The sequence below is a fragment of the Homo sapiens genome, chromosome 6 (assembly GCF_000001405.40).
Source record: "Homo sapiens chromosome 6, GRCh38.p14 Primary Assembly".
NCBI lineage: Eukaryota > Metazoa > Chordata > Mammalia > Primates > Hominidae > Homo > Homo sapiens.
The window spans coordinates 155,827,370-155,844,985 of NC_000006.12; the positions used below are offsets into that span (position 1 = coordinate 155,827,370).

The window sequence follows — 17,616 nt, forward strand, 5'->3', positions numbered from 1 at the left end:
TATCAAAAACAGGTGGCCAAAGTCACAAGGGAATTATGCGGAAAGGGTAGATATGATGTAAAGAAAGACATGTGTTATCTTCCAAAATACTATCACTACTAATAAAAAGCCATTGCACAAGCCAAAAAAATATATTAATCTGTTTTGAAGAATGTGTCTGATAATAATGAGATTCAACAATACATAAAATAAAAAGAGATATAAACTGGAACTCTACCCAGCTAACTTCCTGGTTTCTGTAATTGAATGTGCAAATAACTAATTTAAAATGATTCAGTGGAGGATTAGAATGGATTGTAAATCCTGGATTTGTGATTTGAATAGTGATGATAGAGCCGAGAATGTTTAGAAGGAACAGAAACCCTACCCTAACTTGTACAGAGTAATAATCACTGTGTACCTTGTCCTGTCTAATTCCTATAAGGATGGAAAATGAAAACATGGCCAGTATTTGCAAAAAAAATAAATAGAGATGTATGTCCACTTTGGGACATGCATACACAGGGATAAAGACTGCACTGGATGAATCAGAACACCTTTCCAATCCTTTCCTTTGCTTTCCAAATGCATACAATCTTCATTTTTGTCCAAGAAAAAGAGAGAAGAGCTATGGATTTGGTATTTCTTTTCTACCATGTTTATGAATTTTCAAAAGGATACTTTTGATGTTAGATAAAAAAGACAAAACAAAGAGAAAAAATTGCTTTGAGGTAGAAAAATTCTTTGACATGCCATTTCTGTGCTAATAAATGATGAAAAGTTTGGAAAGTGATGAGAAGGTTGACTTTTATTGTGTACTTATTTATGCCAGGTATTGTGAGACAATGACTAAATTCCTTTTCTCTTTCTAAAACTCTTTTGTAAAAGTTGGAATCTGGAAGCAGCACAATATTAATAACAATCTCTCGCATTCACATAAAGCTTTATAATTTATGAAGCAGTCCTTCTTACCTAGGGAGAAGGAAACTTTATTTACTGTATGCTGACTACATGCAGAAGCATGGAGGTTTTATGCATTAAAAAATTTACTCATGATATATTCAAGAGATGGGTATTATTTCTGCCATATTTCAGATGACAAAGCAGAGATGTTACAAAATGTGAGTGGATTGTTCAAAGTCACAACCAGCAAGTTGTTGAAGTTGAGTTTCAAACTCAGAACTTCTCACTCTGCTGGAGAGGCTCTTTTTGGCGTGGGCAGTGGCTAAGCCAGGAGGTAGCTATCAAGATACCTAATATCTGCAACTTATAAAATGGCAACCCTGCAGGGTTTTGTTGTCCAAGTTTCTGCGTTTGGCATCAAAAGTATTCAATAAACTTGATTCACTCTGTTTCATGTGTGCCTACAATAAAAGTGTTCATAAAAATTGCCATTGTGAGCTGTGCATGGTGGCTCACACCTGTAATCCCAGCACTTCGGGAGGCTGAGGCAGGCAGATCACTTGTGGTCAGGAGTTCGAGACCAGCCTGGCCAACATGGTGAAAGCCCATATCTACTAAAAATACTACATATATATATATATATATATATATTGCTGGGCGTGTTAGTGGGCACCTGTAATCCCAACTACTCACGGGGGTGGCTGAGGCAGGAGAATCGCTTGAACCTGGGGAGGAAGAAGTTTCAGTGAGCTGAGATGATGTCACTGCACTTCAGCCCGGGCGACAGAGGGAGATTCCATCTCAGAAATAAATAAATAAATAGAAAATGTCATTGTGATTTTTAAGAAGAAAATGTCCTTCATTTTCAATTATTTTGCAAGTGAGATTCCTGCCTCTTTGGATAATAACAGTGACTCACAATAAATCTGTTCCAACCTGTTTAAAAGTCCACATTTATAGAAACAGAGACTTGGCCTAAAAGAGAAGAACCCACAATAAGGAGAAAGAGATGACAGCACCTCTTACTTAAAATATTGAACGATTTGAGGGAAATGGAATTCAGAGTTCCCTTTTAAATAACAGCTGGAAACTCATGAGTCTAGAAAAATAAAGGACAAGGTTTGATATTTCAGAAATCACATCTCCCATCTTGCTGAGGAATTCTGCTCATACTCTCAAATATGAACTACGATGAGCTTTGAGAAGATTCTAACCACTTGCCCCACCACTATGCATACTCTACTTAATTTGGCACAATTCAAAGACTATTTCCTGTGTAAAAATGGAAAATGAAAGGAAAAAAATGTCCCTTTTCAAAAGACTGTGCCATTAAAATATGACATGTTGGAGAAATCCTGCCACAGACAATGTCTACTTGTTTCTGGGATGTGCTTAGTTTTCCCAGTTAGTAATATTGATTATTTCTCTTTATCCATTTGATTTTTCCTAATGCAGAAGTTTCTAGGAAGTAACCTGACTGTGATTTAAAAAATATCCCCTTTCACATTTCTCTGAATTTAACTTTAGGATATACAGGATGGCCATAAAAAAAACCCCAGTTCATGTAAGTACTTGAATGTTACCTGCTCTATCAAGTATGCACCACATTTGAAAGAAACAACTGGCATATTTCTTTGCTTATGTGTTTGACAAACCATACTTCGGCTGAAGAAGATGGAGTGAGATGAAATGATGAAAGACAGGAACACAGAAGCTGAAAAGTGACCTAGAAATCTTAATTTTAGCAATCATAGCTGTGTCTGAATTTAAGTTTACAGCAGCGGGGGTGAAATTATAGTACAAATTACCATGCTAGGCCAGAGAAATTATTCTCTGCTGCATGGTTATTAAGTGATAGATAAATAAATAACACTGTAGGACTGATTGACAAAATATAAGTGACCTAAAAGCTAAAAGGGGCACCATGCAAATAGTACTGTGTAATCACAAGGCATTTTAAAACTGAAATGAGATTTGTCACAGCAGAGAAATCTTAAAATGATATCTGCTTGAGCCATCACTAAAGTCATTTATAGGAGTCCTGAATCTCAAGGATCTTGCAACCCAATGGCCACATATTAGTGTTTATTTTTATTTTGGAAAAGGGCTACAGGTGAGCCATGGTGAATACAGCATGGACCTTAGTTGTTTTCAAATGCCGTATTTCAGCAATTTTTAAGGACTTTTTTTCACATCTTAACATCTCTGATATCCAGTGATTTCTTAGATTTGATTAAATGTGGTAGTAATGACAGGTATACATGAGCTCTTCCATATCATCTTCTATCTTGCTTGTTAAAAGATTTAAGTCCATTAGCATTAAAGGTGAAATTTACACCATCAAAAGCTATGTCCACATGTTGCACTTGGCATTAGCTTTCTTGGGCTTTGTTAGCTGACGGAACTCCCTGGCCCTAAACAACGCTGGAATGCAGTGAAATGAGAAAGCATGGTAGGAAACAGGACCAGTGTAGCCACTCCACCGGGTGGTGAGGATAACCACTTGAGGAAGCACCCAGTCAGTACTGTTGAACCATCTGTTTCCTTTTTAAATTATTTGAGAGTCTCGATATTATCCAGTGATACTAAATGTGATTCACATAGAGGATCTGGCTTTTGAATTTTACCAATGCGCTTTTGGTTTAGTTTATTGATGAACAGATGTTTGGGTCCTTGGAAGTTGTAATATCCTCTGCTATCTTTGTTCTCCCAAAGCTAAATAAGATAGGGACACAAGACTGACTCTTACGTATTCAAAATTATACAGCATTTACAAAGGGACAATTGGCATGGTGGCCTACGTCTGTAATCCTAGCACTTTGGGAGGCTGAGGAGGGTGGATCACTTGAGGTCAGGAGTTTGAGGCCAGCTTGCCAACATGGTGAAACCCCATCTCTACTAAAAATACAAAATTAGCGGGGCATGGTGGCAGGTGCCTGTAATCCCAGCTCCTCAGGATGCTGAGGCTGGAGAATCGCTTGACCCGGGAGGCGGAGGTTGCAGTGAGCCAAGATCTCGCCACTGCCTCAGACAGAGTGAGACTCTGCCAAAAAAAAAAAAAAAAAAAAAAGAAGTAATAAATAAAAGTTTAGTCATCTAGCCTATAGAATGAGGACATTTAACAAAGCAAAACCTTTGTAATGGGTTTCTCTGAGAGCTGAAACTTTCATTTCTGGTGCAAGCATTGAAGCTTATATCATGTGACTTTGCCACCAGAATGAGGACCAGTAGGAAATGGTTGATTAATTTGTCAAAATGGGAGGTTCCGAGAGGTCAAACTTACAAATTGTACTAACTTTAATAAAATACTAATCTTTGCTTTAAAAAAATTTGAAGGTCAAGATATGGTATAAAATCGTATTTGTTGAGTCTTCTTCGCTAACTATAGACTACAGATTATCTTCCATAATCTAGTCTAGTTTTCCTTTCTCTGCTCCCAAGGACAAGCACATTTACAGATAAGAATACATATGTCTAAACTAAACAATAGGCCTATGATCATGCTGAGGTGCATGAAAGGAAGGACACCTGATTCCGGGTCCAGTACTTTTGATGATGGTATCCGTTTGGGATCTGAAAATGCATATTTGTTTGGTTCACATGCAAAAATGTGGAATATCTGACAACTTGTGAGTTTGTTCTCTTTGTGCTACTTCTTGTATGATCAAGAATAGATTTTAATAATTTATAACTTTTGGCCTATCTTTAATCCCTTCTATTATTTTATATTATTTACTAACAAATTGTCCTCTCAACAAAATGTTTAGTGCATTCTCTTAGAACATTATAGCTCATTATCAATGTTAACATCTCCTTTCCAGGAAAATGTTCAATTTGCTATTAGAAATGACACAATTTACTGCAAGTTCAGAAAACCCATAATGATGGATAATGCTTCAGAGGACAGCCCTAGAGCAGCATTTTGCCCCTTGGGGAGTGTGTATCTGACATTTGACACACGGGCTGGCCTGGGCACATTTTTGGCCTTGAATTACTATACTTAACTTGCTTGTTTAGTGTTAAAATCTGGATTTATACAAAAAGTTAGTTTTAAAACAGATCTTTAGAAAAAGTCTTAGTAAAAATTAGAAACTAGTTGAGGATTATCTTGGGTTCTAACTGCTTCTACCTAATGTTTGAGTTCCCTTCCTCCTTTTTTCTTTGCTTTTTAGTAATCTTATTCCTATCAAATACCCAGTTCGTTCATTCTTTCTGCGATTTATCCAGCTTCCTACTGTATTGGACAAGACCTTCCCTCATATCGATGCTTAGAAATTAAACGCCTTGTTTTCTCAGAGTTCTGATTTTCTACTTGCTGAATGGATGAATTCAACAGTGATAATAGAATAACATCTACTAACCGACTCTTTCACACTCTAGTTGCACTCGAACTGGAGGCTATCTGACACATTTTAGGTTTGGGTCCACAGAGCCAATACTTACTTAGAAGACCTTGATTTCTGTCAAGTGCAAACTGCTTCTCTGCAGATGGCACTGTAGGACATGGCATTTGCTTTAAGAAGTGGCTTTAATGTAGAGTCTTCATGGTATGCTGTAAGTCTGTAAACACAATGGCAGTGAGTCATGACGCATTCTGGAATCCTCCATCCCACCATGTCAGCAGCTAAGTGATCACCACAAGACTGGGAAGTAAGATAAAGAAAGGATGTATTAGAAAAAACACAAAGATTCAAATTGTACGAGACTTAGTTCATGGGTTTCAATAACTCTGTCTTCTATACTTTCCAAACATTTTCTTTTTAAATATTTTGTTTTACAATATTTACAAGTCATGTAAGTGTCACAGAAAACAGAAACATTTTTAGCATCCTTTTGTCAGTTCCAGTCTGGCCCTTACATCTGGAAGTTTATTTACTTGCTTATGTGTGTATCAAAGCAATACACGCCTATAGTTTAAAAAGAAAGAAAGAAAACAAATTGTATTAAAATCTTCTAACAAATGTAAACTATTCCCTGCTTCACCCTTTCTCAATCTCATTTCCTGGAAGCATGTTTCTAATATCATTTGCTATTTCATAATCTATTTATTTTAGATGTTACTTACTGACTTCTTATTTTAAGAGAAGAGGGGAAATATCCTCTCTCCAGTTACCTATCTTTTTCCTCTAAAAAGTTACATCATCATATTTGGTTGAAATATTGTTAAAGAGGCCGGGCGTGGTGGCTCACGCCTGTAATCCCAGCACTTTGGGAGGCCGAGGCAGGCAGATCACGAGGTCGGTAGATCGAGACCGTCCTGGCTAACACGGTGAAACCCCATCTCCACTAAAAATACAAAAAATTAGCCGGGCGTGGTGGCGGGCGCCTGTAGTCCCAGCTACTCAGGAGGCTGAGGCAGGCGAATGGCGTGAACCCGGGAGGCGGAGCTTGCAGTGAGCCGAGATTGCGCCACTGCACTCCAGCCACTCCAGCTTGGGTGACGGAGTGAGACTCCATCTCAAAAAAAAAGAAGAAAAAGAAAAAGAAATAATGTTAAAGATTTTATTTATTTTGACCTCGAAACACTGCTTACTATTGAGCCAAGTAGTATACTACTTTTCATTCTTATGTAAGTATTATTACTTGTTCTCTTTCCCCTGGTCCTTTTAGCCTCATTTCTTTGTTCATACTGTTTTTTCTTAACCTTCATTTTCTGCTTCCTCTGACTACTTGTTACTCTGGAATTAGCAATTGCTTTGGTTTTTATATGCTTAGATTTCTATATATCTACTAGAAATTTTTTTATATATTTGTCAAATCACTATGAATTTTTTTCTGAATATTCCTTTTAACAGCCTTATTTCTCATGAAATGGACTAATAGTCTCTTTTTTCTAATACAATATTAGTGAGCCTAAGTTGAAGTTTTCTTCTGCTCCCTGTATTGTCCCTTTATCTTGAGTACATTATAGTGTTTATTTATTTTGATTCTGCCTTTCATGTTGGAGACTTTCCTATAATCTATGATGATTTTGGCTGCCATTCAGATTGAAAAATACATCACTAAGAAAATGACTGGAGGAGCCTATTTGCATGGAAAGAGTTTGTTATATGAGAGAGCTGCACTCTAGAGTGATAAAATAATAAATTGGCATTTTCATGTAGGCATGTAAATGTCCATTTCTGTGGAGTCTACTCTTGGGACAATTTAGTTTCTCCAAAAAGGGATCCTTGCTATCAGTATGAAAATCCCAACCCACACAGAGCACGTTTGTCACTGGCTGTGTGGAGGATGGGAAGGTATCTGGGTACCTAACCCTTCCTTACACAGACATCCAGTCAATGCCTCTGTATTCAGCCTTGAAACTCTCACCACTTTCCAGTTCACCTTGAGTCTCTCTTTGTGGGGTGAACAGCCTTGCAAAATTTCCCTGCAGAAATCTAAAGTTATGTTTCTTGTTTTGCTATATCAATTACCTATCCTCAGTCAGCTTTCTGTCTTCTCAAAATTTGGTAATATCTCTTAGTGGCTCCTGTTTTTTTTTTTTTTTTTTTTTTTTTTTTTTTTGAGACGGAGTTTTGCTCTGTCCCCCAGGCTGGAGGGCAGTGGCGTGATCTCAGCTTGCTGCAAGCTCCGCCTCCCGGGTTCAAGCAATACTCCTGCCTCAGCCTCCCGAGTAGCTGGGACTACAGGTGCCCACCAACACGCCCGGCTAATTTTTTGTATTTTTTAGGAGAGACGGGGTTTCACCGTGTTAGCCAGGTTGGTCTCGATCTCCTGACCTGGCGATCCTCCCGCCTCGGCCTCCCGAAGTTCTGGGATTACAGGCGTGAGCCACCACGCCCAGCCAGCTCTTGTCTCTTCAACCATTCTCTTTGTCTTTGAGGGTATATTCTTTAAAAAAAATTCTCTTATTATTTTAGTGGAATTCCAGAGGCAAGCATATATAAAGATATGCGCTCAATTGATTGATTGTTTTTAACTGGTTGTCCCAGCACATATATTGAATGGCCAAGAGAGGCTGGAGTAGCATCTATTTATTTCATGTTTTTATCACAACACTATAGTTACTTGTGTTATAGGTAGAAATAGATAACTTACTGTGTTGCGATAATACCAGATTATGCTAAGCGATAAATTGTATTATAAGTTTGAGATATTTTCCATCTGATTATTATATTTATAATAAGACTAAAGTAATTAGAGACTGTTAGCAATTCAACTGTGAAATAAAATTTTTCAATTAATTATATTTTGCATTTGGGGATAACTTTAAGAATACTCTGAAATCAGAATCTATTCAAAATAAAAAAATCAGTTGCCACCTGCAAGTTCTAATTGATGCCAATTGCAACTATCTTTAATATCACACAACTAAAACCTATAGAAATAAACAGGAAATCAAAAGTAAATGCAATTTACTTATAAATAAAGGGAGTAAAGAAGAATTTTATGGAAAATATATTATGCCTACTGACATTCGTAACCAACTTTAAATGTTGGATTTGTCCAAGCAGTTTCATTGTTCTCACATTGATTTTATAAGTAAAAAATGTTATAAATTTGAACTTAAAAGTAAATAACATAGCACTTTAATCTGTTTTATAAGATGAGTTTCTACATGAACATTCTGGTTGGAAAAAAATGTTTCTTGACCAAAACAAAAGAGAGAGAAAGAAACAGAAAGGAGAAAATGTTTGCAAACCAGACAATGATCTTAAGTTCCTTTCCAGTTCTACAATTTTATCATTGTAAGTCTCTTAAATTACTCTGTTTCACTTCATCTGTAAAATCACAATAATAATACCTACTTTTACAGAACTATGAATATCAAATTAGGTACTGTATGGGGAGCTATAAATTCCTTTAGATGTGTAATTTATTATTAATAATCAAATCTGTGGAAATAAGCAAAAAGTCCATGAAATTATAATAGAACATGCAATTTTCTCGTTCCTCTCCTGATATTTATATACAGAGTTGTCCTTCTATGTCTTCTTACATTTTTTAATCCTAACCTAAATAGTAGTGTAGCTTTAGTCACATGGTCGAAGTACGTTTGCTGTCAAACGCTGCTTCCCACAGAAGAAGCTCATGAGTATAATTATGCAGTTGTGCATTTTTATCAGTAGTGACATCCTTTTGCCAGAAGATTTCAGACAAAACTGAACTCAGAAGCTGGAAGTCCTCTGTTGTAGCAGCTGAGCTTCTTCATGACATATTCATAGGGGGAGGTGAAGAACCTAACCATGCAAGTCTGACCAAAATGTTTATGAACACATCTTCTAATTTCATACCTATTTAATTCTTCAGTTATCATCTGTACCCTCAAAACACGTCTGTCAAGGGTACCAGGAGTGTGCGGATCAGGAGTGTCCACTGAGGCTGGGTGCAGTGGCTCACGCCTATAATCCCAGCACTTTAGGGGGTCAAAATGGGTGGATCCCTTGAGGCCAGGAGTTTGAGACCAGCCTGGCCAACACAGTGAAACCCTGTCTCTACCAAAAATTAGCCGGGCATGGTGCCATGGGACTGTAGTCCCAGCTACTTGGGAGGGTGAGGTATGAGGATCGTTTGAACCCAGGAGGCAGAGGTTGCAGTGAGCTGAGACTGCTCCACCGCACTGCAGCCTGGGCAACAGTGTGAGACCCTGTCAAAAAAAAAAAAAGAAGTGTTCATTCAGTTGGTTTTTATGGCCTTCAGTGAATCTGCCAGAAATTCTGAGCATATATACTCAATAATTTCAAATGTTCTTTGTAGTTTCTTATGTAGAAAAAATGGTAATAGGGCCGGGCACAGTGGCTCATGTCTGTAATCCCTCCCAGCATGTTGGGAGACTGAGGCAAGTGGATCACTTGAGGTGAGGAGTTCAACACCAGCCTGACCAACATGGTGAAACCCTGTCTGTACTAAAACAATACAAAGTTAGCTGGGCGTGGTGATGCATGCCTGTAATCCCAGCTACATGGAAGGCTGAGGCAGGAGAATTGCTTGAACACAGGAGGCGGAGGTTGCAGTGAGCCAAGATCATGCCATTGTACTCCAGCCTGGGCAACAAGAGTGAAACTCCATCTAACACACACACAAAAAAAAAAAAAAAAAAAGAAAGAAAAAGAAAAACTGGTCATAGAACTTCTCTTTTGTTCCATTAGAATCTAGAAGTGATTTGCTAGAGAAGAAAGAATCTGTATGAGAAAATCTTACCTTCACTTTTGGGATCTATTAAAATCTACTACAAATATTTGTGAGTTACTGACTTCCACTATGAATACATGCACCATTTAACAACAACAAAAATAACCATCTGGCATCAAAACAGTTCACAACCTGTATCCAGTTTTGAAAACATGTCTCACGTGTTATCTATATTATTGTTAAGTGGATGTTCAAATCAAGGATCTGCTGCATCGTGGTGATATTCCTCCTGGATCTGTTTCTGTCCTGACATCATTTTGCATTTCCTTCCCTCTGTGAGTTTTGAGGTATGTTTACTCTGTGATGTCTTGGATCTATCCTTAATTGCTGGTGACATGTCAAATAGCAGACATAAGTGAGAAGTCTTCAGTGACAGGAGCCCTTTATATTCCATTATAAACTACCCGTTTATAATGGAAATCTAGCGAATAGAAACAGAAGCTGTAGTTGGCATTTTTAAAAAAAAGACAATAAAATTTCTGAATACCATAGGCTTGCCTTCTTTTCAAAAACCTAGGAAGGAGAAATCTCAGCACACGTGTCACTGAATAAGAACACAAGCCTCCATGAGCAGACTCTAAATGTCTGTTTCACACAACAATTATGCACTGGCTTCAGGAGCCCAATATCTCATTTCAAAGACATTCCTGCAAAGCTGTTCATTATTGATCCCAGAAGAGGAAAGAGAAGACCGATACAAGGACCACTCTGATAAGCGGATTGGTATTTAGAAAAGACACCTGCTCTTTATACACAAAACCAAATGGCGTCAACAACCATGAAGAGGTCTTAACCATGACATATAATTCTATAAATGCTATATTACTTAACGTAGTAATGGAGGAGGGACATTCAGGTTAATAGCAATTTACCATATCACCAATTTTTAATTAAATAAACTATTAAAAGGTACTCAAAACTACACTAGATGTTTTATTTTTAGGGTTTTTTTTGGGGGGGTGGACTTGTGATTCAAAAGTTACATTAGGCTCTTTTAGTGCTTATTATAGACATCATTATCATACACAGAAATATAAGAAAGTACCCATCACTAGGATCAGATAAACTTAATTACAGAAAATTAAATATCACTTACGGATAGTATTTCTCACCACAGGAAATCATTAGAAAAAGAAGTGGAATTAATTTAATATCTTTTTAAGCCCCTTAAAAGTGAGTCGCAGCCTTAATTGATGGACTTATGGACACATATTCTCTACTCAAAGTATGAACCTCATTTAAAACTCATCTGAAAATTGACCACATGGCCTCTATTGCAGTAAGCGTTGCCCCGTTAGCTCACAGTGAAGTGCTTTGCAATTTAGATAACTCTAATTATTCAAAATATATGCTTACTATTAAAAGGCTTTCTTACAAGTCTTCCCTTTCTTCCTCCCTGTCTTCTAACATTTTTTGTAACTATATATAATTTTAAGAGGTTTAAAAAATAACTACTGGAAATTAGGTGACTAAATAAGGAAGAGAAGAAAACAGAAGGAAGGAAAATAAGAGGAATCATGTGGCTAAGTCAGTAAGAAGAAGGCAGGACACAGGTCTTGTGCACTTTCTACAGGGAGGCTGCAACTGGGTTCTGGGCTTCTGTGTTTCCAAAGCTAACGGGAAAATAGGATCAAATATTTGACTCATAGAGTACATTGTATAAATAACCATTTTCCAAAAAATGTGTAATTATTTAGGAACTGCAGCCTGAGAAATGTCACTCATAAACATCATTCTAAAGCAACTAATATAACAAGTGTAAATTAAATGGGAGGAGGGAACAAAACTTATTGCTACAGCATCATGAATGGTACCAACTGTGACCCTAAGACTTAACAATGGCCTTTTCTCTTCCTCTTTATCTTCAGTTCCAGTAGAATGGACTGAACTCAATAAATGCCACCAAGTGACTGATCAGTTGCCACAAGTCAAAATTCTACACTGAGCTCCAAGTCAAATATAATTAGTGATCAAGGGGTCAGACAAGCACACTTGGTTTTCATGCTTCCTAGAAAAGCGGTGTTGCTAAGCAGCTAGCTCTTAAATCCCAGACATTATCAGAACACCAAAGCAGGAAATACTGGCGACTTTGTGAATTTGTGAGCGTTACTGGTCGATTTTGAAAAAATAAAGTGGCCTCCCAGTAACTGGCCATAGGTTATTAGAAGGGAAAGATCATATGGCTGTGCTTTTTTGGGGTTTTACATTCATGAAAATCTTTATATTTAGACTTGTCAGGGTATCTTTGAAGGAAGCCATCAATGTAGTCAGCATATTTGTGTATCTTTGTTAAAACATTAAATGTAGACACTTAAAATATACCACAATTTTTGTAACTTTCTTAGCTCTTTTTTACTTTTTACTATTCTATAAGCTTCAAAGATATACGTTGGACTTCTCTCAACTATTGAGAGGCCTTAGATAAATGCTAAGATTTAAAATTACGCTACATGCTCTCCCCTAGCATCATGAGGCTTACAGCCACAGGTAATAATCTAGTGATAACTAAACTGACTTAAACTGGAACGGGAATGTTCATATCAGTCTAGAGAACATTGAATTATGGACCTAGCAGTGATAGTGATGTGATAGACCCAAAGGCACCAAATGATTCATGTGGACCTCCTCAAACCTTACCAGAATTGATCTGTGTGACAAATAGCTGGCTGAAATAATGGTAAAACACTTCTGAGAATAGATTATAAAAAGACTGCAACTTCTACCTGGTTATCTCTCTCTCTCTCTTTCTTCCTCTCTCTCTCTCTCTCTCTCTCTCTCTGACACACACACACACCATTCACCCCCACGGAAAGCAAGCTAACATATTGAGAGCAGCCTTATTGATAGTCCCACATTATAAGAAACTGCAGCCCTCTAATAGCCTGTAATGAACTGAGGCCTGCCAACAACCACATGAAATAGTTCGGAAGCAGGTCTTTTGACCACAGCCAAGTCCTGGGATGACTGCAGCCTCATGAAATACACTGAATCAGAATACTCCAGCTAAGCTAGAAAAATATTGATTCTAAGTGGAAATTTAAGTATATATATTGTAAACCTGAGAACAACCACTGAAACATCTAGACAAAATGATATGGTAATAAATGCAATAGATAAATTAAGATGATATACTAAAAACTGTTCAAAATAAACAGAAAGAAGATAGAAAAGGGGAGGGGGATAAAAAAAGAACAAACATCAAATAAATAATATTATAATTAAGTCTAAGCATTTACATTAAGTGTGAATAGTCTAAAAATGCTATTTAAACTACAGATTCTCAGAATGGATAAAAACAATGACCCAGCTACATGTTGCCTACAGTAAACTCATTGGAAACTTAAGGATATGGGCAAGCAAAAAGTAAAAGGATAGAAAAAGATATACCATACAAACACTAATCTAAAGAAAATGTGAGTGGTTGCATTAATATCAGACAAAGTAGGCTTCAGAGCAAAGAAAAATACCAGAGACAGAGAAAGATGTTACATAATGATAGAAGTATCCATTTACCAGGATGATATAACATTCCTCCATGTGTACATACCTAAAAACAGATGACAAGTCACATGAAACAAAAACTGACAGAATTAAGAGAAATAGACAAATCTACAGTTGTAGTTAGGGACTTCAGCACCACTCTCACAGTAATCTGTAGCAGCAGGAGACAGAAAATCAGCAAGCATATGGAATAAGTGAATATCACCATTTACCAATGGAATCTAATTTATAGAATATTCCAGCGGGCATGGTGGCTCATGCCTGTAATCCCAGCACTTTGGGAGGCTGAGGCGGGTGGATCACAAGGTCAGGAGATTGAGACCATCCTGGCCAACATGGTGAAACCCCGTCTCTACTAAAAATACAAAAATTAGCTGGGTGTGGTGGCTGCACACCTGTAGTCCCAGCACTTGGGAGGCTGTGGCAGGAGAATCACTTGAACCCAGGAGGCAGAGGCTGCAGTGAGCCGAGATGGTGCCACTGCACTCAAGTCTGGTGACAGAGCAAGACTCCGTCAAAAAAAAAAAAAAAAAGAAAAAGAAAAGAAAAAAAAGGATATTCCACCGAATAGCAGCAGAATGTAAATTTTTTTCAAATGCATTTGGAATATTCACCAAGACAGATCTTATCCTGAGGGAGGTAGGGGTGGAAGTTGGGATAACATTTTAAACACATGTGAAATAACTAAATTAAATAATAAAAGTAGGTTATATAACCATAATAAAAGTAAAGTAGAATCAATGACAGAAAGATAACAGGAAAGTCTCTAAACACTTGCAATTTAAAATACTCTTGTAAATAATCATAGGGGAATAAGCAGGCTTAGAGGAAACTAGAAGATGTTTTGAATGGAAAGAAAATGAAAATAAAACATGTCAAAATTTGTGTGATAGGGCCAAAGCAGTGCTTAGAGGGAAGTCATAGCATTAAATGCTCATGTTAGAAAAGAAAAAATAAGTCAAATAAATAATCTAAATCTTTCACCTTAAGAATGTAGAAAGATAGTAGCAAATAAATCCAAAGCAAGTCAGAGGGAGGAAGGAATACAGATTAGGACAGAAATTAATGAAATGGAAACACAAAACTAACTAGGAAAATTCATGAAAATAAAAGTCAGTTCTTTTAAAAGATCAACAAAATCAATAAATCCTAGCAATACCAACAAAGAATAAAACAGAGAAGACAGAAATTACAAATATCAGAAATAAAAGAAAAATCTTACTGTACTCTGCAACCATTAAAAAAATAAGAGAATACCATACACAAATCTAGTTACATAAAATCAAAGATTTGGGTGAAACAGACCAATGCCTTGAAAATCACCAACTTCCAAAAACTCACCTAAGTTTAGAGAGATAAACTGGATAGTCTTATAACTTTTAAAGAAATTTAATTAACAGTTTTTAAAACTTCCAAGAAAGGAACTTCTAAATAGTGTTACTGATTAATTCTTATTTAACATTATTTAATAAATATTTAACAAAGAAATAAACCAATTCTGCACTATTTTCAAGAAAATAAAATAGGAAGAAATATTTAATAATTCATTTCATGATGACAGCACTATCCTGTTAACAAATCAGGTAAAGCCGTTACAAAAAAATCTACAAACCAATATCCTTCGTGGACAAAGATTTAAAAATTATTAACAAAATCTTAGCAAAGTAAATGTAGTCATATTTTTAAAAAACTACATCACAGCTAATTGGGGTCCATCACAGTAATGCAGGAGTGGTTCAATATTTGAAACTCAATCAATATTATTTACTATATTAGTAGCCAAGGAAGTAGTCTTATGAACATATGAATTGATGTGGAAAAAACATTTAAGAAAATTCAACATCCATTCATTATTTAAAAAAAAAAAAGACTCAAGAAACCAGGAATAGAAGGGAATTTCCTCAACCTGCTAATGAGCATTTACCAAAAATCCACAGCTAACATCATGCTTACTGATGACATACAGTATCTTCCTCCTAAAGTCAGGAATAAGGAAAGGATGTACATGCTCATAGCTCCCAGTTAACATTGCACCTGAACTCTTGGCTAGGGCAATAAGGCAAGAATAAGAAAGAAATGGCACAGCCTGAAGAACAATAAATAAAACTGTCTCAATACATAGACATGATTTTCTCTCTAGAAATGGGAATTTCTGCATAAGAAGTCCTAGAACTAAGTTAATTTAGCAAGAACACAGGCTACAAGGTCAACACAAAAATCATGATATTTCTATAAACTAGCAATGAACAACTGGAAGCCAACATTTTATTATAGCTCCAAAACAAATGGAATACTTAGATGTATAAATCTAAGAATACATGCACAGGATTGCTATGCTGAAAACAATGCTGATGAAATAAATCAGAAAATATCTAAATAAATGAAGCAACATATTTTTTGCATGTACTAGAAGACTCAACATATTAAAGATGTTTATCCTTTACAGATTGATCTATAGATTTGATGCAGTTTTAATTGAAATCCCAGTAGGATTTTTTTGCGATATAGAAAAGATGATTATAAATTCATGTGTAAAGTGAAGGAACTGGAATGACCAAAGAAATTTTGAAAGAGATGAACAAAGTTGGAAACAGATTACTCTTTTAAGACTTACTATAGAAATAAAGACTTGCCCAGATAAACAAAAGCTGAGGGATTTCATCAACAACAGATCTGTCCCATAAGATATGCTAAAAGGATTTCTTCAATCTGAAAGAAAATGATGTTAATAAGAAATAAGAAATCATCTAAAGGTACAAACTCTATGGTAATAATAAGTACACAGACAAACACAGAATATTATAACACCATCATTGTGGTGTGTTAACTGTTCATATCTTGAGTAAGAATAAAAGATGAACCTATCAAAAATAATAACTACAACAACTTTTCAAGACAGACAATATGAGATATGAATAGAAACAATAAAAGGTAAAAGCAGAGAGTATGAAGTTAAAAGTGTAGAGTTTTTATTAGTTTTCTCTTTGCTTGTTAATTTGTTTGTTTTTGAAATTGATGTTAAGTTTTCATCAGTGTAAAATAATAGGTTAGAAGATGTTATTTGAAAGCCCCATGGTAACTGCAAATTAAAAAACCTACAAGAGATACACAAAAAATAAAAAGCAAGAAATTAAAACATACTACTAGAGAAAATCACCTTGTCTAAAAGGAAGACAGAACAGAAGGAAAGAAGACCACAAAATAACAAGAAAACAAATTAAAAAATGGCAGTAGTAAGTTCCTACTTATCAATAATGACATTGAATGTAAATAGACTAAAATATCCAATCAAAAGACACAGAGTAGCTGAATGGATTAAAAAAATGACCAAGGATCTGCTGCCTACAAGAAATACACTTCACCTATAAAGACACACATAGACTGAAAATAAAGGGATGGAAAATATATTCCATGCAAACAGAAACCAAAACAAGAGCAAGAACAGCTATACTTACGTCTGACAAAATAGATTTCAAGGCAAAAACAATAAAAAGGGACAAAGAAAGTCATTATATAATATTAAAGTGGTCAATTCAGCAAGAGGACATTAATACTTGTAAATATACATGCACCCTACAGTGGAGCACCTAGATATATAAAGCAAATATTATTAGAGGTAACAAGAAGTGATAGGCCCCAATACAATAACAGCAAGAGACATTAACACCCCATTTTCAGCATTGGACAGATCATCCCAACAGAAAACGGATTAACCAACATTTTTAAAAGATCATTTATCATGACCAAATGCAATTTATCACAGGGATGCAAGGATAGTTCAACATATGCAAATTAATCAACATGATAAATCATATCAACAGAATGAAGGACAAAACCCATATGATCATTTCAATTGGTGCTGAAAAGCATTTGATAAAATTCAGCATTCCTTCGTGATAAAAGCCCTCAAAAAAACTGGGAATAGAAGGAACATACTTTAACATAGTAAAAACTATATGTGACAGACCTACAGCTAGTATCATACTGAATGGGGTGTGGGGTGGAATGGGAAGCCTTTCCTCTAAGATCTGGAACAAAAAAAGGATGCCTACTTTCACAACTGTTATTTAACACAATACTGGAAATCCTAGCTAGAGC

General features: G+C 36.1%; 2 long non-coding RNA genes across 3 annotated transcripts in view; one reads left to right on the forward strand and one right to left on the reverse strand.

Annotated features, from left to right (window-relative positions):
* The window catches only part of LOC105378072 (uncharacterized), a 91,283-nt gene that overhangs the window by 34,029 nt on the left and 39,638 nt on the right, over positions 1–17,616 (forward strand). The gene's annotated exons all lie outside the window — the stretch shown is intronic.
* Positions 1–17,616, reverse strand: part of LOC101928923 (uncharacterized) — a 487,547-nt gene that overhangs the window by 18,645 nt on the left and 451,286 nt on the right. The window contains exon 5 of the long non-coding RNA XR_001744423.2: positions 5,326–5,525. This is a non-coding gene — a long non-coding RNA (uncharacterized LOC101928923). The remainder of the gene's footprint in view (positions 1–5,325; positions 5,526–17,616) is intronic.